The 23,349-nt window shown below is 34.4% G+C and overlaps 1 protein-coding gene across 9 annotated transcripts in view, besides 3 other annotated features; it reads right to left on the reverse strand.

Moving 5' to 3' along the window:
- Positions 1 to 23,349, reverse strand: part of CSMD3 (CUB and Sushi multiple domains 3) — a 1,214,012-nt gene that overhangs the window by 429,450 nt on the left and 761,213 nt on the right. For all 9 annotated transcript variants that reach the window (NM_001363185.1, XM_017013010.2, NM_052900.3 and 6 more), the window contains 2 exons: positions 13,900 to 14,038; positions 3,777 to 3,964 (listed from right to left, as the gene is read on the reverse strand). In NM_001363185.1, coding sequence (NP_001350114.1) covers positions 3,777 to 3,964; positions 13,900 to 14,038 — 327 coding nt within the window. The remainder of the gene's footprint in view (positions 1 to 3,776; positions 3,965 to 13,899; positions 14,039 to 23,349) is intronic.
- Positions 21,026 to 21,617: an enhancer, noted in NCBI's record as "OCT4-NANOG hESC enhancer chr8:113685632-113686223 (GRCh37/hg19 assembly coordinates)". NCBI's record gives its function as "activates a minimal SCP1, AML or CMV promoter by ChIP-STARR-seq in naive H9 embryonic stem cells {active_cell/tissue: H9 hESC(naive)}" and the evidence as "EXISTENCE:reporter gene assay evidence [ECO:0000049][PMID:30033119]".
- Positions 21,026 to 22,263: a biological region, named in NCBI's record as "MED14-independent group 3 enhancer GRCh37_chr8:113685670-113686869".
- Positions 21,064 to 22,263: an enhancer, noted in NCBI's record as "MED14-independent group 3 enhancer chr8:113685670-113686869 (GRCh37/hg19 assembly coordinates)". NCBI's record gives its function as "activates an origin of replication core promoter dependent on BRD2, BRD4, P300/CBP and CDK7 cofactors, and independent of MED14, by STARR-seq in HCT116 cells {active_cell/tissue: HCT116}" and the evidence as "EXISTENCE:reporter gene assay evidence [ECO:0000049][PMID:35650434]".

The raw sequence follows: 23,349 nt of genomic DNA on the forward strand, positions 1-23,349 counted from the left end.
GAACCTCTAACATTGTAGTAAAATCGTCTAAAATCAGAGAAATGGGGGTTGCAGTGGTCATATACAATGTAAATTACAGTAAAATTTAATTATTCAAAAGTGATTGTAATGCTTTTGTTCATTGACCTATAGTAAAGGTCAATGAATATATGGGGTTAATAATTCATTTGCCTTTCTTGGCTTTTCAACTGATAAAGTAAGATGATGTATTTCTTTTATGTCTTCCACTGTGGTGCATTGATCTAGGAGTCACAAAATAAGTCTAAAGAAATAGTTCATAATTGATTGACAAGCAAATAACTCAAGGCATAATGCAAGGCAATGGAAATGTTGCAAAATTGAGAAAATGAGAAACATCATGAGGAACTGATATCAGTATTATTTATTAACTGATAGTCATTACTGAATACTAAAACATAATTGGTAAGTAGCTTTAGAAGATTTTTTTTTTAGACAGAGTCTCACCCATCCTACAGGCTGGAATGCAGTGGCTAATCTTGGCTCACTGCAGCCTCCACTTCGCTTCCTGGGTTCAAGCAATCAATTCTCCTGCCTCAGCCTCCCAAGTAGTGGGAATTATAGGCATGCACCACCACTCCTGGCTAAATTTTGTATTTTTAGTAGAGACGTGGTTTCACCACGTTGGCCAGGCTGGTCTCAAACTAATGACCTCAAGTGACACTCCCGCCTCAGCCTCCAAAGTGCTGGGATTACAGGCTTTAGTCATCGTGCCCAGCTAGTTTTAGAAAATTCTTAAATGTTGGCAATGTACATAATTTTCAGAAGTTCATGTCTGCATTATATCAAATGACATTAACATGTTATCTTTTTCCTTATTGCTTTATAGAGCTTGTTTTTTTAAAAAGTAGAAATTCAAAATGGACATTTTTCTTATTTATGTAATACAACGTTTGAACATTTTATGTTTCTGTTTCTACTACTCCTCCCCTCAAATATCTATTGATCATAAATTGTGCATTCTTTTAGATGTCTAACATTTTCCTAATTGGAAAATACATCTATACGTTCATATGAAAAATACATATTTGGAGATGAATATATGTCTATACGTTTGTTCTGTATCCATTTTCAATTTTAAAATTTGTATAATATTTAGATATCCAAGACTTAATTATAGTCATATTTCAAGCAATACAACATAATAAACAGACGTGATTTTTTCCTGGGGAAAAACTATAGAAATAAAAATAAATTATATTCCTAAAGTCTACTCTATGTTGTTATAATTTTAATGTGTTTTGAAACCTCTAAATAATCTTATCTTTTTTTTTTTTTTTTTGAGATGGAGTCTCACTCTGTCACCCAGGCTGGAGTACAATGGTGTGATCTCGGCTCACTGCAACCTCCACCTCCCAGGTTCAAGTGATTCTCCTGCCTCAGCCTCCTGAGTAGCTTGGATTACAAGCACACACCACCATGCCTGGCTAATTTTTGTATTTTTAGTAGAGATGGGGTTTCACCATGTTGGTCAGGCTGGTCTTGAACTCCTGACCTCGTGATCTGCCTGCCTTGGCCTCCCAAAGTGTTGGGATTACAGGCGTGAGCCACCGCACCCAGCCAACCTTATCTTATTGATAGTTTTTGTAATCCCCATGTTTTGGGGGGCAGATAGAATGGGGTAAAAAAAAAGAATGGGGTAAAAAATATAACAGAAACCTGGAGTACAAACAATGGTGGCATTGCAAGCATTCCTTCCTATAGGATTTTGGTTGCCTGGGGAAGACAAATTACTTTCACTTTCAATGAATTTGATTAAAAAAATAGAAATACACCAAATGCCAAATATATTGTTAATGTTCTCATTAGCAATCTACTGATTTTGAGGTTTGTGAATGGTTCATTTGAAAAAGATAGTTTAGTTACCTTCAGCTTGGGAAACAGTAAGAAAGAGATGAATGAAAAGGCTTTTGTTGGTTTCTTGATAAGAAAGGATTTATGATGTTGGAGATTATTTCACAGGAGTAAATATACCACAAGACTAATAGAATAAAATGAGAGAAGGTGATTTCTTAAAGACAAATTTAAATACAAAGTTATTTCATCTTGTTAGATTTGACCAAATTAATAACAAGTGTGTCTCTAATCAACCTCAATGTTTGTCAGCTCTCAGCTTCCACTTTGCCTTTTAAGGCACTAGCCCTCGAAAATAACTTGGACTATGCCACTAAGGACCTGTAAGTGACAAACTTGCTGACTGAAGGTATGCATTTGAGCAGGACTTCTTATTTTTATTCCTTATCTGACTAGTTTTTGTAGGAGAAATGTAAAGGCTATCATTTATTGAGAACATACTGCATGTTACCAGTTATGCTGACACATTTTGCATGTTTTGTTTCATTTAATCTTTAAAATAGTCCTGTTTTTGGTAAAGACCACATACCTTGGGTGGAATGGGATTGAATACGATTTACTGGGTAAAGGATACAGCAATGGACTAAAAGAAAAGCTGCCTGCATATTGATATCAATTAATTACTAGTGAGAATTAGTTTTGAAGTAGATTTTTCTAAATGACTAATTTGACTCAGGTTTAGTAAATACATGTTAGACTCAAAATATCAGTTAAGGCACTTTAGTTCATTTGAACCCCCAAGTATGTGTGCATTCTCTTATTGCATTTTACCATGATTTTTACAAAATATGCTTTCATGCCACAAAGCTCAAAATAATGGGAAGTTAATATAGTCAAACAATACTGTAGATAAGATGATTTAAAAAAACTAATGGATCTATATTGACAATTATTTTAAAAACCCATGAGTCCATTGACTATATCTATTGAAGATAGATGCCCAACAGCAAATATAAAACTATATATTTCAAATGCAGAAATCTCTTCTTGAGGGGGAAAGGGTCATAATTAACTTGAATATTAAAATAAATAATATAATATCTGCATTTGAAATAAAGACATATTTTAATAACCCTCTTAAGTGTGTTGTTAGATTAATTTATCAAAAGTGCATTTCACGTAAAAGTATATGGCTATGCATTCATGATGAAAATGTACACATATGTAAATTTATATGTTTGCACACACATAAATCTTATGCAATATAGCCACACATGTGCAAGATGTTTATAAATGGAAAAAAAGCCCATTTCTGTGTTCATATCAGCATCAAAATGTTTCAAAAATCAAAATATTTTAGACTTTTTAAACAAAACCATGAGATTTAATAGGGGTTATAATGATTCCAACACTCTGAATTATAGCTTGTATTAATATAGTTTTCTCGACTTATATTAATCATATTTGAATATATGTATATACAGTTTGCCTTTTAATTTTAATATTATTTTCAACATTTTATGCAAAATAATAAAATTAAATATTTTAAATGGAAAATATGTGCAATTAGTGTGAGGAAACTATAAAAGAATAACTGAATTTGTGAAGTAAATGCTAAAAATGTTATTGTTTATATATATCTTAGACTGGCAATTACTGTCTATTATCTGTTTTTCAGAACTATACACAAATAATTGGTACAAAACCTCATTTTCAAATAATGATTTGATGCTTCTGATATTTCTTTAGTATTTTGTTTCATAATGATATTAGATAGATATTGCTGGAAAATCTATTGCAGAATTTACTAAAACACACACCTTATAAAGCATTAACATTCTTATAGATGAAGGAAAGCTTTGATTTAAAATAAATAGAGCTAATAGTTCCATTAGTAAAACTATAATAATACAAAAAGTAGGGCAAACAGAATGAGGAAATCAAAAAGTTTTATCATTACTTACTTTCATAATGAATCTTGAAACCATTATTGGAACGACTGTTGTCTGTTGTAAATAGAAGGTATATAAAATTACTGCTACTAAATAGAAACTGGGGCACTTGGGTGCCATTGTAAGATCCAAGCAAGGGTGACAGAAGATTTGGCCCATCATGAACTTCCAGAACATCATAATTCAGTTCAGTCTGAAATCTAAGATTAAAAGACACATGTGAAAATATATTTAGAATTAACACTATATATGGAAATAATGCTTTGGACTGCTATTTAAATTCCTATTTAAAATTTTTCCATTTTATATTATAATTTTCTTTAGCTTATCTAATATCTAAGATATCATTTAAGACACCATCATTTGTGAATGCCAAAGGTATAAGCTCTTATTCCTATGAAAAATTATTATTAAAAAGTTATGTATTGTTCCTAAGATTCTTTCAAATATTATAAATTATCTTATAACTGGACTGTTCATGAACCAAACATATTTTTGGAATTATCTTTGGTTGTCTTCCTTATTTTTATGGAAAAATATGTGGTTTACATTTATTTTCAATCAGATAATTAGATTATCATCTTAATAACACACACATTTCAAATTTGACATCTGCTTTTATAATTATTTTTTATTCAAGTGTTTTTTATTGATACATAACATTTATACAAAATTTTTGGACAAATCTATTTCTGCCTTTAAACATGTGATAAAGTTTGTATTTGAAAACAACAGTTCTAAGTAGGTAGTAACTAATGATGATACATTTGATGTTTATTAAAGTATCAGCAGCTCTATTAAAGACTTCATTGACATTAGTTTTTGTAATCCTCCCATTAACCCTATGGTGTAGCTCATATTATTAAACCCACTTTCCAAGTAAGAAAACCACAGCCTTAAAAACTTTTTTTTCTTTTTACTTTTTTTTTTTTTTTTTTTGAGGCAAAATCTAATTCCATCAACCAGGCTAGAGTGCAGTGGTGCCATCTTGGGTCACTGCAGCGTCTGCCTCCTGGACTAAAGCAATTCTTGTGCCTCAGCCTTCTGAGTAGCTGGAATTACAGGCGTGTGCCACCACGCCTGGCGGATTTTTGTATTTTCAGTAGACACAGGGTTTCACCATCTTGGCCAGGCTGGTCTCTAAGTCCTGACCTCAAGTGATCCACCTGTCTTGGCCTCCCAAAGTACTGGGATTACAGGCGTGAGCCACTGCACCCAGCCACCTTCAAAACTTAAATAGTATTACATTATCTTAAATTACAAAAGTAGGCATCAAAACCAAGTCTCCCTGACTCTAACCTCTATTCTATGATGTCTGATCTTATTAGATTTTTGGTTGTTCTGCTGTTTTCAATTCTTTAAAACATATTAATTTATTTTATAAACGTCAATCGACACAGGGCTACTTTTAACATGTATAACATCTATTTTAAAAAAATAGCATTTTGTATTCTTCCCTTGCACTTCAGGGTTATACTATATCCTGAATCTAGATCCAAGATCTAAACTGTGGAAAAATGTTTATGTGAACTCATGGAGTACTAAAATATTTTTCCCTTGCCTATGATGATCTTGAAGCCTCGAAAATTCTTTTCCTTGCTTTAACCAAGGTTTTCCTACACATCTTTCAGTTTCAGCTTAAATATGCGAACAGCAAGACCTCTTCTGTCCTCACATTGTAGATTATTTTATTTCCTATTCTACTGCCACAATTTACTGTGGCTTTTGTGATACTAATCACAGTAGTGTTTACTTTTTAGACAACTGTCTTCCTTAAAAGTCTATAAACTCCATGAGGTTAAGCAGTGTGTTTTTGTCAATGCTTTGCATATAGTAGACACTCAATAAATATTTATTGGATCAAAGAAAAAATGAATGTATTTTACAGTTAAAAATGTCTTTCTTTTCTCTAGGGTAGTTACTAGTTTTACAAAAAAGTATCCAACATAATTGGATGCTTTAGTATTAACCATGTATTTTTACTCATGTTAAATGCACTTTCCAATAAAGTTTCAGTACTTTATTTCTCCAGTTTTATCTCCAGTACACTTTAAAAAATAATTTTTAGTTTGAAATGCCCACTAATTTTCAGAGAATCACTTTTACTATCATACTTGCCAGTCTTTTGCAGTATGTGTTATGAGATTAAACCACTTTATTCCTCAAAACCAAAATGAATAAAACTCATATGTGGTCAAACAAATGCCCAGAACTAATTGAATGGATTCAAAAAAGGTTAGAAACTCTATTTCATTATATCGTATCAGTCTCTGATATTATTATGAACATAGCATATGACACGTTAGTCAAAATTAAGTATATAATTTAATACTGTTCAGGAAGCACAACTGCCTCCTATTAATCAGTAAACAGTATATGTGAATTTTTGAAGTGTATTTTACTTCTAATTTTGTGACCTGGAATATACTGTATGTGTTTCATAAATGTTTCAATAATATGGTGTAGAGAAGGAAAGATAAAGGAACACTAAGTTCTTTAAATAAATGATCATATACTTAGAAATTGTCAATCTAGGCCAGGCACAGTGGCTTTTGCCTATAATTCCAGCACTTTGGGAGGCTGAGGTGGGTGAGTCACCTGAAGTCAGAAGTTTGAGACCAGCCTGGCCAACATGGCAAAACCCTGTCTCTACTAAAAATACCAAAATTAGCAAGGCGTGGTTGGCGTCTGTAATCCTAGCTACTCGGGAGGCTGAGGCACGAGAATCACTTGAACCTGGGAGGCGGAGGTTGCAGTGGGCCGAGATCGCACCACTGCACTCCAGCCTGGGTGACAGAGTGAGACTTTGTCTCAAAAGAAAAAAAAAAGAAATTGTCAATCTATTATTTGGTTGCTTTGTAGTCAGTCTACTGTGAATATTGAAATTGGAGTTTGACTTTGATAGCTAGTCAGCTGACAGCAGCCAAATTAAAATGCACGGAAGAGTCAGGGATTACTTCAAATTGAAACATAAAGAGACTTAATTCTTAATAGAATAGCAACATTAACTGGTGATATAAAGAACATTGTTCAGTACCAGTGAATCTTTAAAAAGAAAATCATTGCAGATTTGCCCTGAGGAACTATAAAAATACATTCTAATAACAAGCAAAATGGGATAGGGTTACACAATAAATTGAATTTCTTTCATTTTCTATTTTAAAATAGTTGTATAAATTTCTCATGAATTGCCTCAGTCTCATGTTTGTTTATGAAATTAAATTTATTGTATATGCTAAACAAATATTATGGTAGCACTAAATGTTATTATGAATGAAATTGGATCTAATCTTATTCAATTTTTGTTGTCTTTAAAAAACATTCTTGATGTAATCCAAACCCTTCCTAACCAAATTGAGATAGTCCTCATTAACTTAAAAAAATATTCTCTGAAAGACTGATAGTGATAGCATGCATTCAGGGAGCTGAGGATAGGAAAAGGAACCGAAAAATACACTTTGAATGATGGATAGTAAAATGAATACCTCTTAGACTCAGGAGCTGCTGGATATTGAGAAAATTTAGAAAGTGTGGGAATAAACAAAAACAAAAATTCCTTTGCAGATCTGAGAGTAAGAATTGTTAAATGTTTGGATATGTTAAGAAGAGGTAAATGGTTTTAAAAACATGTTTGTTGGTGTTATTGCTATTTTGTTTTGTATTTTACAAGAAATCATATTTCTTGTAGTTTTATTGACAAGCTGTTGAGACAATCTCAAAGAGAAAATGAATGAATAATATATTGGTAAATAATATTACTTTCTGTAGGTTAATTCTAATCATTTTCTCCATTTGAGAATATAGAAAAAAACTACAAAATAGCTATGCCACCATGTTAAATATATTATCTGATTTTTACAAATTTTGTTTTCAACAAATTTAAATGACTCACGAGTAGTGGAAAGTAAGTGACATGACTCTGTAATAAATCATTTCTTGGAACCAGCTTCTTCAAGAATATTCTCAGAATAAGAGGAATTATTAAAGAGTTGGCAACTAGTGTCCTTACAAGAGTTTGGCTGGAAATCAAAAGAGAATTAGATATTTTCAAGAATCCATTATGTGTTAGATACTTTAGAAATAATATTCGATTTCTTAAAACAATCTTTAGAAAAAAATAAAGCACCAAGACATTATAAGGCCACTGATCAAGGAAGTGATAGGCATATTTATGTCTGATTTCAAAGTGATTATTTTATGTTGCTGCCCTAATGGATAAAATTCACTTATTTTTAAAATTGAAATACCTTGTTCATCCCTTTGCTACTGAGTTACTGCTAACCATGTGATATCTGTGTAAGATGTAGATTATTAAAAGAACCAATTTTCTGGCAAAGCATATGGAATATAGACAGCCCTCAACCAATACCTCATACCCTTAAAAGGTCTTTAGAGAAGAACAAATGGAAGAAGATATTTAAGGATTTTTTTTTCTTAGCTCCAATTCAATAATCTTATAGGATTTGGGGTGGAAGTAAAGGAAAGGCAAATAGAAGGCTCAAGCCCTAAAAGGAGCGTTTATTTCAGTTTACAACATTTGGAAGAATTTGGGACTTAATTTATTTTATTTATATAAGGTAGATTCAAAGGAAATATGTGATATAAATGTGCTCTGTTTATTCTAAAATACTGAAAATACCATTAATAAATTCTTAAAGCATTGTAACTCCTGATTATTCCAGTGTTTGGGCCAATTAACAAAGAATGATTTTTTAATGATTGGTTTTAGGGAAGTGGAAGAAGCCATGAGATTATAATTGATTTGAGTGGGTAATTTCAGGATTAAGAAATGAGGCACGGTTGACAAGTCCAGCTTGGTGATGTCCATGGGGAGAAGCCAAAATCTTTAAACTGTAGGAAACATTCCTCACCCAAGGCCTATTCTGATCTACGCACAAGACTGATTATTGTTCCTGTGCATAAATCCTACATTGAAAATCACTTTTCAATTAGACTTTCTTACTTCTAGCCTAATTTAAAAGATTTGTGTCTTAATCAATAGATAAAAGAATAAGAAAGTGGCAGAGTAAAACGTGCTAAGTAACGCTATAGAAATTAATTTAAGTTTATGCCTATTTAACTAGTGTTACATTTTATTAAAATGGCTGGAAAGATTTCACCAGAAAGTCAGGTTTGAAACAGTCTAATTTCAAATATAGGCTATACAGTACAAGTGAATTCATTTGGAGAATTCTAAAGGTATCTAAACAAGATAGGCAAGCAGCAAAGAGGCCTATATTGGCCTGTTGGAAGGACAGCAGATGCATGCTAAGAATTTTGGACAGAGAAAATAGTGCCTTCAAACAAAAGTCCAAAATCAAATGTCAGAGTACGGATGCCCTCTGAATTGCAGGCATTGTTTGGCAATCAAACTGTTCATCAAGTGAGCCACTCTTAGTAGCCTACTTTGAGCTGAAAGATACTAGGTGTTTATTTATTTAATGATGATTAATGACTCTCATTAGCAAATCAGCAGATGCTTTTCAACATAATAATGCACTTTGTGTTCATAAAGCTTAAACTAATTTTCTAGTCATATTATTTTTGGCTTATATAGTATTTTAAAACTGAATAAGAGAATAAAAGAAAATGTTATTTTAAAATAACATTCCAGTTTCAGTCAGCTAGAAGGTGGGGAAGGGGTGAGGTCTTCATAAGAAAACACTGCTGTTTGATAAAAAATAATAATAATAATAGTATGTTTCAAAAGAAAGGCAAGATCCATTCCTACTCCCCAACATCACCCAGAAAAACAAATAATTAAATCACTCTGCATAATAAAGTAATAGGTATTTTGAGACTTACCCTGCTATATACCAGGAGCACAGGGAATGGGGAAATGAGGACTGAAGATTCTAGATGCAGAAGAGATTAAAAATGAAGAACAAACAAATGGAAGAACATTCCATGCTCATGGGTAGGAAGAATCAATATTGTGAAAATGGCCACACTGCCCAAGGTAATTTATAGATTCAATGCCATCCCCATCAAGCTACCGATGACTTTCTTCACAGAATTGGAAAAAAACTACTTTAAAGTTCATATGGAACCAAAAAAGAGCCCACATTTCCAAGTCAATCCTAAGCCAAAAGAACAAAGCTGGAGGCATCACGCTACCTGACTTCGAACTATACTACAAGGCTACAGTAACCAAAACAGCATGGTACTGGTACCAAAACAAAGATATAGACCAACGGAACAGAACAGAGCCCTCAGAAATAATGCCACATATCTACAACTATCTGATCTTTGACAAACCTGACAAAAACAAGAAATGGGGAAAGGATTCCCTATTTAATAAATGGTGCTGGGAAAACTGGCTAGCCATATGTAGAAAGCTGAAACTGGATCCCTTCCTTACACCTTATACAAAAATTAATTCAAGATGGATTAAAGACTTAAATGTTAGACCTAAAACCATAAAAACCCTAGAAGAAAACCTAGGCAATACCATTCAGGACATAGGCATGTGCAGGGACTTCATGTCTAAAACACCAAAAGCAATGGCAACAAAAGCCAAAACTGACAAATGGGATCTAATTAAACTAAAGAGCTTCTGCACAGCAAAAGAAACTACAATCAGAGTGAACAGGCAACCTACAGAATGGGAGAAAATTTTTGCAATCTACTCATCTGACAAAGGGTTAATATCCAGAATCTACAATGAACTCAAACAAATTTACAAGAAAAAAACTAACAACTCCATCACAAAGTGGGAAAAGGATATGAACAGACACTTCTCAAAAGAAGACATTTATGCAGCCAAAAGACACATGAAAAAAATGCTCATCATCACTGGCCATCAGATAAATGCAAATCAAAACCACAACGAGATACCATCTCACACCAGTTAGAATGGCGATCATTAAAAAGTCAGGAAACAACAGGTGCTGGAGAGGATGTGGAGAAATAGGAACACTTTTACACTGTTGGTGGCGACTCCTCAGGGATCTAGAACTAGAAATACCATTTGACCCAGCCATCCCATTACTGGGTATATACCCAAAGGATTATAAATCATGCTGCTATAAAGACACACGCACATGTATGTTTACTGCAGCACTATTCACAATACCAAAGACTTGGAACCAAGCCAAATGTCCAACAATGATAGACTGGATTAAGAATATGTAGCACATATACACCATGGAATACTATGCAGCCATAAAAAATGATGAGTTCATGTCCTTTGTAGGGACATGGATGAAGCTGGAAACCACCATTCTCAGCAAACTATCGCGAGGACAAAAAACCAAACACCACATGTCCTCACTTATAGGTGGGAATTGAACGCTGAGAACACATGGACACAGGAAGGGGAACATCACACACCGGGGCCTGTTGTGGGGTGGGGGGAGGGGGGAGGGATAGCATTAGGAGATATACTTAATGTTAAATGACAAGTTAATGGGTGCAGCATACCAACGTGGCACATGTATACATATGTAACAAATCTGCACATTGTGCACATGTACCCTAAAACTTAAAGTATAATAAAAAAAAAATGAAGAACAGTTTGGGATAAGAGAGGGGATTGGAGAGATACAAGCAATTATTCCTGTGATGAGGGTTATCAAGAAAATTTAGAACAGTGTAGGCTTATTCAATCTTAAATGACTCTGGATTGTGCAATAATCCTCTTTCATTGTCACCTGCATTATGGTTTTCATGAGAATGAAAGAAAGTGATGCAAATGAATAGAGTAATGTTGAGAGAGTGCAGCAGCCTCAGTGTCTATTATGTAGGTTGATTCTGGAGACAGAATTTAAGTCCAGAAGTGAACAAAAGCACCCCCAGGCATTCTTTGAAAATTGAAGGAGAGAGTAGGTTTCCCTTGTATGTGGGATGGCGGTGAAGTCTTTTTACTTGAATATTGAAGGATAATGACTGGTGAGAGTCATCTGGGTGATAGATGCTATGAACTGATACAAATAAAATATGAAAATAACATATTTTCAACTACCGTTGCACCTCCTGATACAAAATAATGTTTAGTCCAAAACAAGAAATACGAAAATTATGTACTTGACATATTATATAAATATATATGAGATTAATTCTGATAGATTGACAAATATGCTTGTTTTTCAAATGTAAAATACTAAATTTAAAAACTGAAAAATATGGATGAAATCTTTGTCCTATTGTTCCAAATCAATACATATCATGCTTTATCATGTATTCCAAACCAAACATAATTCTGTGTGCTAAAGTAAGGTTGGTTAATTTTAGTTCAACATTCATGGAAAAACTATATTGGAAAAAGATTTAATGATGAATAACTAAGATGTTTTTCAAGCTTTCTAAAATTGCTATGGCAACATAAGCCATGTAAACCAATAAATAGGGGATACGGTTTTAACAGAATAGCAACAACAACAACAAAATGCCAAATGAATGTAAATGAAAATTTTTAAAAATGTGTCAATTATTGTTGTGGGCTAAATTGTGTTCCCCCAAATTTCTATGTTGAAATCTTAATCCCTAGTAGTACTCAGAATGTGACAGTATTTGGAGAAAGAGACTTTAAAAGGGTAATTAAGGTAAAGTGAGATCATATAGATGGGCCCTAATCCAATGTAACTGGTGTCCAGGACATAAACACACACACACAGAAAATCACGTGAAGATAAATGGAGAAGACAGCCATCTACAAGGCAAAGGGAGAATCCAGAATAAACTGTCTTGTGGACACCTTGATCTTGAACTTCTAGCCTCCAGAAATGTGAGAAAATTAGTTTTTGTTTTTTATCTCATGCAGTCTGTGACACTTGGTTATGGCAGCCCTAACTAATATAGAAAACTAATATAGCCCTAGTAAACCATGTAGATTATAACAAGATAGTGTTAAATTAAGTTTAGCTTAAAACCTCCTGTATACTTTGAATTCCCGCATAAGAAATGGCAACCTAACTAAGAGTATAATCTTGTAATAAATAGCTGAGTGTCATCCAATTACAGAAACCAAGCTTCAGTCAGTAACAGGCCACCGACTGATCAGATCATATCTATATAAGTCAAATGCGAAGTTGTAACTAATCAAGCTGTTTCTTTATGTCACTTCCTTTTTTTGTCTATAAATACTTTCTGCCCATTTGCCATACGAAGCTCTTCATATTTACTGATTCAAGGTGCTACCTGATTCATGAATGGTTCTTTGCTCAAATAAACATGGTTAAATTTAAGTTGTCTAACGTTTTTGTTTTAACAGTAGAATGAAGCCATGTGAAATGTTTAATACTCTACCTCTGTTCAAAGTGGAATCTGTTCTCTCCCATGCAAATGTTAACACTAGCATGGATAGACAAATTCAATGAAAGACCTTTTGAGTTAGGAAAGAATCATGTTAGGTTTGTAAAATTCAATCTTCAGTCAATAATAAATATATTCTGCTGTACTTATATGTTTTTCATGTGGATCTAATGCTTAAATAAGTTTTTTTGTTCATCTGTTTGTTTTTTGAAGAAAGGGGTTGGGAGATGAGAGAAGTCAATGATATAACTGAGAGATTATATAGATAAATCTATTTTGATTTGTAAGTTGTGATTCAATAACGTAAGAGAAGTTTCATTCTTTTAAGATTTAAAATATACAATATTATAGCCTTTTACAATATAGTTTATTTGATCAGTAATACTAATTTTTCTAGGGGAAATAAAAGGTCAGCTGTTCCACCATTACTACATACTACATGACAGTCATTTTCACAAGGACTTATAGGTGAAAGCATATGGATAGTGTGCCTAAGTGTCTTAGACTGCACTAGTGTTGATTTGAATGTGTTTACAGCACCTTCGCCTCTTGAAACCTAGCAGAGCAGAATTCACAGGCCCTTCAAAGTATAGAACAACTAAACTCATTAAGTTAAAGGTCACATGTTCACATCTTAGTAGTACATAAAGCAAAAAGGTCGATCTTGCATATTTCAATAGTACTGATACAGCATTACACAAATAGAAAATTAACTTGGAAACACGCTGAAAGGTTAAAAGGGGGCAAACAGATGGAAGCATTCAAAGCACAGCAATTGACTATTACAATAAAATTAAACATTCATTTGGTAAATGCAAAAGAGAATGTCAACTAATCTTTTAGATAATATTTTCTTTAAAAGTAGGAAAAATATTTGTGAGACCTTTCAAATGTAATTTTGATAGAGTGTCCAGGTTCAGCTTCAATCACCCACTCACAATTCAAAGAGTCTTTGTAGTATCCTGGCCATCCTGGTGAGAGAATCACTCCACTGGGAGCTGAAAAATGGCCACCACATGGGGCTGAAAAATTAAATCAGACAAGTAAGAATAAAACATTCAAGATAAATCGCAGATATTATTCTTAATACAAACAATTTCAAAAACAAGTCTCTGCATATCCTTATTAAATAGTTAATACTATTTTTGAAAGCAATGGTACATCTAGTCAATTACTTCTGTTAAATGATTATTTTTCTAAAAAGGTAATTTACTTTTCAAAATATGAAATAGCTACATTTAGCATGTCAGGTAATAAACTGCTCCTCCTTAAGTCTCTGAATAATACCCCTTACATATATTCTTGTCTCTCCATCGTCATCTTTGTATTCAAAGCTTGAAAGAAAACCTAAGTTGTTAGCTTTGGTTTCTTTCTCTTTGATTTTCTTACTTATGTTATCAAATTCTACTAATTCATCTTATACACTAACAGTTTGTGCTTCCATTTTCCAGAGTCACTTCATTGATTCAGCTTTTTACCTTATTTCTCATCTGCTATTTTCTTTCTTACTTTAGTCCAGCTGTCAGAATAAGCTCCTCCAAATTATAGTTTCATCATACCATTTCCTAGACATCTAGCCCCTTTCTTAGATTTGTATTTTGATCTCTTTTCTTTTTAATATCAAATTTAAATATTCTGTTTATCATTTCAAATATTGTATCCTCTGATTTCCCTAAGCTCACACACAATTGAAACCACAATGATAGCATTGTAGTTCCAGTAAGTACTGATTAGGTCATTTAGTGTAAACGCCTCATTTTGGAGATGTGTAAACCAAGTTTTAGAGAGAGCAACTTGCCAAAGTTCAGTAGGTTGAAAGGTCTTAAAATCACTTTGAAGTCAACTTTTGCAAAACAAAGCCTTAGTACTGACCCTCTTCCATTATTTCCTGTATTGGTAAATGAAACCGCCATCTGTCCAGTTGCATAAACTAGAAGCTAGAAGTATTCAGTTTTCATACGTATATTATTTTTACCATTTACTCCCATATCCAACCCATCCTCAAGCTCACTCTTATTTCTCTAGCTCTATGGATTTCATCTTAGTTTAAAATAACATCATCTCATCCTTGAAGTATAGAAATAACCCCTGAACTGGTCTCTGCATTTACACTATTCTCCATGCTACGGATACAGTGATTTTTTTTTCTTTTTAATTCACAAAGCTTACCATGCCCTTCAGTGACAACTTTCTGTGTTTCCTGATAAGGCTCTGTGGGATCTAGCTGTTGCTTATTCTCTAGCCTTGTCTCAGAACTCCCCTCCACTCTGCAGCCCAGCTACATTAGCCTGCTCTACTTTCAGGAAGTATACACAGAAGAGAAAATGGAGGAAAGAGTGTTTAAGATGTTGAAAATTATCAGGAAAGAAAAAAAGTCTAAATGTACACTAGATCAACTTTTTAATACATCATTATTTCCAGTGACTTTTCACATCATTTTCTTTAAATCTTCCCATTTAAACTCTTACCCATGTGTTTATATTTTTCCTAGCTTATTTCTTTCTGTTTTGCCTTACAGAATTTCTGAAAACAATTGCTCTAGACACTATTTTACTCCTTTTTATTCTTTAAATAACTTGATGGAACCCAAATGAAATAGCAAATATTTATAAATTGGCCTAGGAATTAAACATTACTGTAAAATTTCTGTTTTTAGTAAAACATTTTCTATGTGAAATTGCCAAAAGATGTTATTTGTATGACAGAGAACTCTCATAAAAACTAAGTTTTCTTCCTTAATAGAATTTAATTTTGTTTCCTAAAAAGCTAGTTTTAAAGGAGGCCATTTTTATGAGGATTATTTACTCTTCCTAGTTATGATGACTCATAATTAGGTTTCCTGTAGGGTTATGTATTTCAAAAATGAAATTATGTGCATAATAGTCACTTAAATTACCATATTTTACAAGACAGAGCTAAGTATTTTAGTGACAGAAAGCCCCAAAATACAGAGTATTTCTGACATAAATCTTTATTATGTCAGCAACTCATATTGTTCCAGAAAAGTATTCACTCATTCATTCAACCTAATCATCATTAGACGAGGTAATTAGTCATAAAATTAACAATTGAGAAATGGGCCATAAAGAATTAAAAAGTAAAGTACTGAGAAGCATTCCGACTAGCCACTCAGTGCAAAATGTGAGGGAGGCAGAGTTAGAAGGGGTCTTTAAAGTGAAGAAGTAGCCTAAAGATGTGATTGATTGCTGTTTGTTTCCTAAAATGACTCTCTGGTATAGTGACCCTGCTTGTGGTTCTTCTCCTACTTATGACATTTTCTGAAGTAGCTACTTTCTCACTTAAAGGATTGGAATTTCCCAAAATTATTCTTCCAAAAGTATAGGAACCAACTTTCTAGAAGGTCTACCACCAAGAGGGGAGAGACATGCTTATATGGGTCGGTCAGCAAAAGTCTCATCATTAAAGTGACTCTCGGGCACATGAGAGGAAAATGTCAGTAAGGAGAAGCCATGGTGTAGCAACAGTGGAAGAGCATGGAATAGATAACATGCAGGAGAAAGGAGAGGCTAAATGTAGAAAAACAAAACAAAACAAAACAAAACAAAACAGCTGAAGAAAAAAAAAGCTGCCTAGAGTTTTGGAACAGAAACCTAAAAATATTATTATTATTATTATGTATTTATTCTTTTTTTTTTGAGATGGAGCTTTGCTCTTGTTGCCCAGGCTGGAGTGCAATTGCACAATCTCATCTCACTGCAACCTCTGCCTCCTGGGTTCAAACGATTCTCCTGCCTCAGCCTCCCGAGTAGCTGGGATTACAGGCACACACCACCACACCCGGCTAATTTTTTGTATTTTTAGTAGAGACAGGGTTTCGCCATGGCCAGGCTGGTCTTGAACTTCTGATCTCAGGTGATCCACCTGTCTTGGCCTCCCAGAGTGCTGGGATTACAGGCATGAGCCACTGTGCACGGCCTAAAAATATTATTAATTGCAAATATTTTATCTGTAAAGAAATCTAACTGCAATATGAGTAAAATACAACTAAAAAAAACAAAAAGTTATCCAAACTTAACAATGTTGCCATATCCATATATTGCCTATGTAGTTAATTATGTACCTACTGAAATTTAAGAAATTCTTATACATTTTTTTAACCAAAAATGAGCTTGTGTATCTCCAGGTGTGAAGATACTACACTTCAAAAAGGATTTCTCTAAAAAACAATAACTACTCTTGGCTGAACAAGAAAAATTTGGAATATACAGAAAGCAAAAAGGGGACCAAGGCCATAAAGAAGCATTTTCAAAGTCCCATTCATTCATTCATCTTTTATTCATTTATATTTCAGTTCTTCGACGTACCATTGTCTGACAGGTGTGTGCCTGTGTGGCATTTGTACTACTTCTACTAATGAACATTTATGGAATGCTTTCTCTGTGTCAGGCACCCTCAGATTATTTTATATAATGCTCAAAATAATCTAGCCAGATAAGTACACTATTATAGATAAGAAAACTGATGTGTAAGGAATTTAAATAATTTGCATCTGAACTGTCAAGGATTTGAACAAAGGCAGTTTGACTCTAGAAAAATTCTTTCCAACTGACATTAAGATAGTCTTTTTCCTTTCCTCCCAGTGCCCATGGTGCAAAAGACAGAAACATTAACAAAACGTAAAAATGTCAAGTTCTATAACAAAGGTATGTCCACAGTACAAGGGGCCCAGAAAAGGAAATGAATAAATGTTTCATAGAAGAGATTCTGTTTAATTTGAAGATTAAACAGGATGAAATCAAGAATGAAGATGAAATCAAGAAGAAGAAATCAAGAAGCACCAACAGAAAAACTGAGGGAGGATATTGTAAATGAAAGCAACATCACATGCAAATGCATAGAGGATTGAGTTAGCATAAAGTAATGCAATTACCTTTTCTGGGGAATAAAGAAGTGATGAGAGAAAATTAGAAAAGGACCTGGTTTGCTCCACTATGGAAAGTGAACCACGGCAATTGAAAAATTGTTGACAAAGGATATGTATATATACACACACACGTATATAGACAAAGGATAAGATTTTCATTTAAGTGAAACTTTCATGTAAAATGGATTGCAGCAGTACACCTGGATTTAGTGAGATCAGTTAGAAGATTGTTGCAACTATCTAGGAAAGGCATTATCAGATTATGAAATAAGGCTGTAGCAGAGATAGGCAGAATATACAAGGTATTTAGGAAGGAGAATCAAAAGCATTTATTGACGTGCAAAGAGTGAGTCAGAGGAAGGAGTCTAAACTGGTCCTTGAGCCCTTGGCATGTGCAATAGGGTGGATGGTGATTCCATTCACCAAAATGGGAAACACGGAACAGGGAGGAGTTTCATGTGGAAAGTTAATGAGATTCAGTGCTAAAATGGAAGGGTCTGTGAAATATCACAAGAAACAAGAGAAAATAGAATCTGGAGCTCTTGGCTATCTTAGGAGTGATTTTCAAAATTGGTTGATGTTCAAGTTTCCATGGAGGTTGAAGGTAAAGGTGAATATTTAGAGGAAAAAATGAAAGATGATTGAATATGCAACCCTTTGAAAAAAGTATTTTAATTTAATAAAATTAAGTAGGTATTGTCCAATAGCCAGTATATCACTACAACACTGAGAAAAGGGCTGAGATGAATTATTTGTTTGGGTCTTCCTCTCACCTAAGTGTGTGAACTGGGATAATTTTAGCAAGTAAAAGTAATAAATTCCTAGGTTTTAGTGGAAAAATAGAATAGTTTATATCTCAGTTGACTGAGATAAACTTTAGTTTAACTAAATTTAGACAGGCTTCTTCCTGATTCAAGACCCTCCTTCCCACCTCCCTTTCCTAGAGCATTTAGTTTAGAAAACTTGTTTGTTTTTTTTCCTCTGTACCTTTGAAATGTACATTTTCTCCCAGCCTCTTACTAGTTTTATGACCCAGGAATGTCTTTTTCAATGACCTGGGAGCCATCCCTTTGAAGCACCCTTATTTTCCACTCTCTCTGTGGGAGAGTGGGAACCTAACTTCAGTAAGCTCCAATTATCAAACATAAATGATCTAATCACATTGGCCAACCTACCCCCTAACATGCTCCAGTACTTTTCTACTAGCTCACCCCAATGCTTAAAAACCTTCTCCCTCTTTCAAAGGAGTTGAGTTCAATTTTTCTTCTCCTTTGCAATAGTCTCAAATAGTCTTGCTTGCCTGTTTAACTCTGACAGAGAAATTTTTCTTTGACACACAGATGATCCTCAACTTATGATGGAGTTTTGACTTATGATCATGACTTGATCAGAAACATGGACTAGGTAGCGGCAGAGCTGAGACTCAAATTCAAATTGTTAAATTCCTAGTTAAGAATTACTTCCACAGTAGATTTATTATTTTTCCAAAAGAAATGTTTATTTAAACATTTTATACTCTCTTTACCATTGGTTTAGTGAAGACAGAAATAGATGAAAAGTCAGGGGGTAGAATATTTAGTCCAAAGGTTTTTAGTATAATTTTGAGGCTCTAACCCCATTTTAAGTGCCTCTCCACTACTATTATTCATTTTTTAATTAATTAAATAAACATTTAGTTTCTGCTACTATGTCTAAGATACTGTGCTAGCTGCTGAAATTGAAAAAAAATTCTATGTGATATTATATCTGCCTTCAAGAGATACACATTTTCTACAAGGAAGATTGATACAGTTAACATGAAACATGATAAGTACATGCTTGAGCTGGGTAAGTAGCCTTGAAATATAGGGCAGGGACAGGTACTGTCCCAGGGGCATTAGGAAAGAGTCTGGGTAGGAGATGTTGTCAAAGAAGAGTTTAGATTAAAAAATGAATACAAGCAAAACAGGCTTAACAGAAGTGGGACAGAATAGGCAGAGGTAGGAAGTAAAAAACACTAATCTGTGTGGGGGAAAGTCAAGTGGTTCTTGTTGTTACAACTTATTATTAGTGGAGGCCTAAGGAGGAGCAGTTCATGGGGGCCTCTGGTTACCTGCAGTTATTATTGCTTTCAAAGACTTTCAAACGTTAGTGGCCATCTACTGAGCTTGTTAAAATGCAGATTCCTGTATTGTACTTCTAATAGTTGTAAGATGGGACCCAAAAATCTGCATGGTTGACAAGACCCCCACCTGATCCCTCAGGTCCTTTTATTGGTTAGGTATGTGGACCACACAGGAAATTTAAGGGATGTGGGTGTTCTGCAGCTCCAAGACTCCATTGGTTAATCTCTCAGTTTTCTGGGATGAGGAAGTTATTTGGATATTTTAGTGAAACACAGGTCGTTGCCTTTAATTCTTCTTTTTGTAGCAATGAAAACAACAATGAGATATGTAAATTCAATATAGTTCATTTATCTAGTTTTATTTTTCTAAGGCCTGAAGAACGTCTGTTATAAATAATGTGAGTTTGAGTGCTGGCTCAATTTTGTCTTACTTTAAGAAGAAAGGATACATTCAAAGAACCCACTGTGTTTTAAGACCTCGATGAAAGAATCAGAAGTGCTTCAGACTGCATTCAGATAAAATTCTCCTGAATAAAAATGCTAAGGAGTGCTGGTACTCCACAGCAGGAGATGCTCTTCCATCTGAGAAGTGGTACTTAGGTGCTCAGAAGGAAGTTGGGGACCATGGGCTAAGCTAGGTTTTGATCACAGGGATTTTGCCATAGGTGAATTAAAGAGGTGAACATTGTAGCATTTGGTCTGATAAACAGTCCTTCTGTGGAGTTGTTCTTGATAAAATCTAGATGCCAATTCAAGGACAATCAGACAATGACAGTTCCATTTTGTTCCTTAAAAAAAAAAACTTGCTTTATGGTTATAGGTGTGGTAAGTAATCACCAGGTCTCTCAAACCTCAGCACACTGCATCATGGTTCAAAAAAAAAAAATTACAATGAACAAGTCAGGTATGTATCTAGGATAAGAAGAGAAAGACAGAAACATGGTAATTAAGGAGCCAAAATAGAGTCCATTTCCATAACTACTTCTATCCCTCCCTGTACCCAGCTCCACAAAGATTAGAAGCAAAGCCCTGCAGATGGCTATTAAATTACATTATTCTATATTAGTGCTTCAGGAGACGTAGAATTTAATAACACCTAAATACTTAACTAAAGGAGGGGTTCATTGTTAGATATAAATATATATAAATGTGTGAATACATATCTGTTTATAAGAACCACAAATCAATTCTGATCTGTGTATCAAATTGTTACTCTAATTGCTTCCTCAAAAGAACTCTCTCTAAAAAGAATGTAATGGCTGTGAATGAGAATGGCTTCCTTTCCTCTGAGACTAATTGAGATTCAAGAGAGAACCTCTTACCCTCAAAGGGAAAGTTCATCAGGCATGCAAGTCCAGGCTTGTCTTCAAACAGTTCTCCCGGGACTTCAGTCCCATCCTATTCACTCAAAGAATTCTCTTAGATATCCCATTAGGGAGTAGGAAGGAGCATAAGCCACAGCTATGCAGGGAGTTCTGTGCTGAGGGCAAGGGAGTTCTTGCTTGAGTAAGCATTTTATAGAACATTCTAAAGTTGGTGAAGCAAAAACAGAAGACTTTTTTTTTTTCTAATTACTGCCTTAAAACACACACTGCCAAGTCTCTTTCTCTCCTCAAAGAGCATGTTAAGCAGAGCCTCTAGTTTTCTTATCACTTCTAGTATTTAAAAACTTGATCCAGTTCAATTTAAAACTGTTATCTCATTCTCTCCATTCACTCACCCAAGGTGCCTTGAGTAGCAGCCAGAGAGACTTGGAGGATAGGGAAGAGCATGCTAAAGGAATGCCAGCACTTTCAGATTCATTCCTCTACTTACTTCAGCACTTGGAGTAGAGAAGGTATTATCACTTATTTTATATCTTGTCCTCTTCCTTTTACCTTTAGATCCTGTTTCCTGTGGTGAGTTAGGGCTGGGATGAGGTGAAAGGTCATAGTCCTTTCCTGGAAGTTATTGCTTTCCTTGCAAACCTTTGTCTGGTCACTGGTGCCTCTCTTTTGTCAGGTATGGAACATGTTGATTCTCCCATGAGAACAAATGAGTTGTTTGCAAAGGCCAAGAGTGAGGAGAATGGCTTCTCACCGCACAATTCCCTGATAAAAGAGAAGCTCAACCTTTTGTAGTTGCCTGTCTGCTCCCATCCCTGACGGCACACCCTATAACTCTGTTGGATTGTCTTTTCCTGTGGCCAAGCCTGAGTAATTTCTTTGGTATTCATTTGATGCACAGGAAACTTACATCACTGACTAATCAAACTGTTTGAACTAAACAGCTCTCCCTCTCTCCAACCTGCCAGCTTTTCACCAATTTCTTTTCTTTTGTTCAATAGGCATAGAAGGTAGATCAGCAAGCTCATTGTATAAGCAAATATCCACCTGGGAATTCTCTTTCACACAAACATCTCCATTCTCTAAGAGGGATTCTTATGCAGCCCTTTCCCTCAATTTGGCTTGAAGATAAGGAGACTAGCACTTTCCCTCCTCTAAGAAGAATGAAAAACCAAACAACTTATAATTCAAACAGTTATAGATAGATGAATGATAGAGAAAGACAGATATACGGATTAGATAGATAAAGACATATAGATCTCCCTAGCTTTTGCTGCTTAGCACATTGGAAGTGGGATGGCAGAGGTTATGATTGAGATAAAAGAATCAGCTAGAACCCACTTAAGCTCTGGAGGGGTGTCTTGTCCTTAAATTTTCAAGAAGAGGAATATAGATAATTTTTTCTTCTTAACTGGAGATCTAAGTTGCCAAAGCTAAAGCAGCAGGAAAATTTAGTTCTCCATTTTGTTAGTCACACATTTATTCCTATGGTTTTCCTTGTCAGGAGGGCTGCAAATATAACAATGTTCAAAATCATTTCGAGTATCCACAAGAAAAAGGCAACTTTGCCAGTCTTAACCCAGCTCTTAGTTAAATCATCAGCTTTGAGGCAATAGCATTCATCAGACTCTTCCAATGTATTTCACTAAATGTAATCTCCTTTATCTATAAAGCAGACCCATGAATGTATTACATCTAATCATATTCAAGAACATGATCATGTAATCCAGAAGGCCAATATTCATTTCCATTTTTGTCACGGAGATTGCTTTAGATCAAAGGGGGCACTGCTGACTACAGTGTAGGGGACATGTGAGTCAGAGTGAGGTAAAAAGGACAAGAGAAGCAGAAAGCATATATACATCAGAGCCTTCTGAGACTCAGAGGAGAAATAATTATGAGGAAACTAATGGTTGGGCACAGGTGGACTGAACAACAAGCTATTTCTAATTTGAACTACAAATTTCAGTATCTGCATGGGATCTGGAAGGAAATGACAAGGTACTGCTTAGGGGAAAA

Source organism: Homo sapiens, chromosome 8 (genome assembly GCF_000001405.40).
Source record: "Homo sapiens chromosome 8, GRCh38.p14 Primary Assembly".
In the NCBI taxonomy this organism is placed as follows: domain Eukaryota; kingdom Metazoa; phylum Chordata; class Mammalia; order Primates; family Hominidae; genus Homo; species Homo sapiens.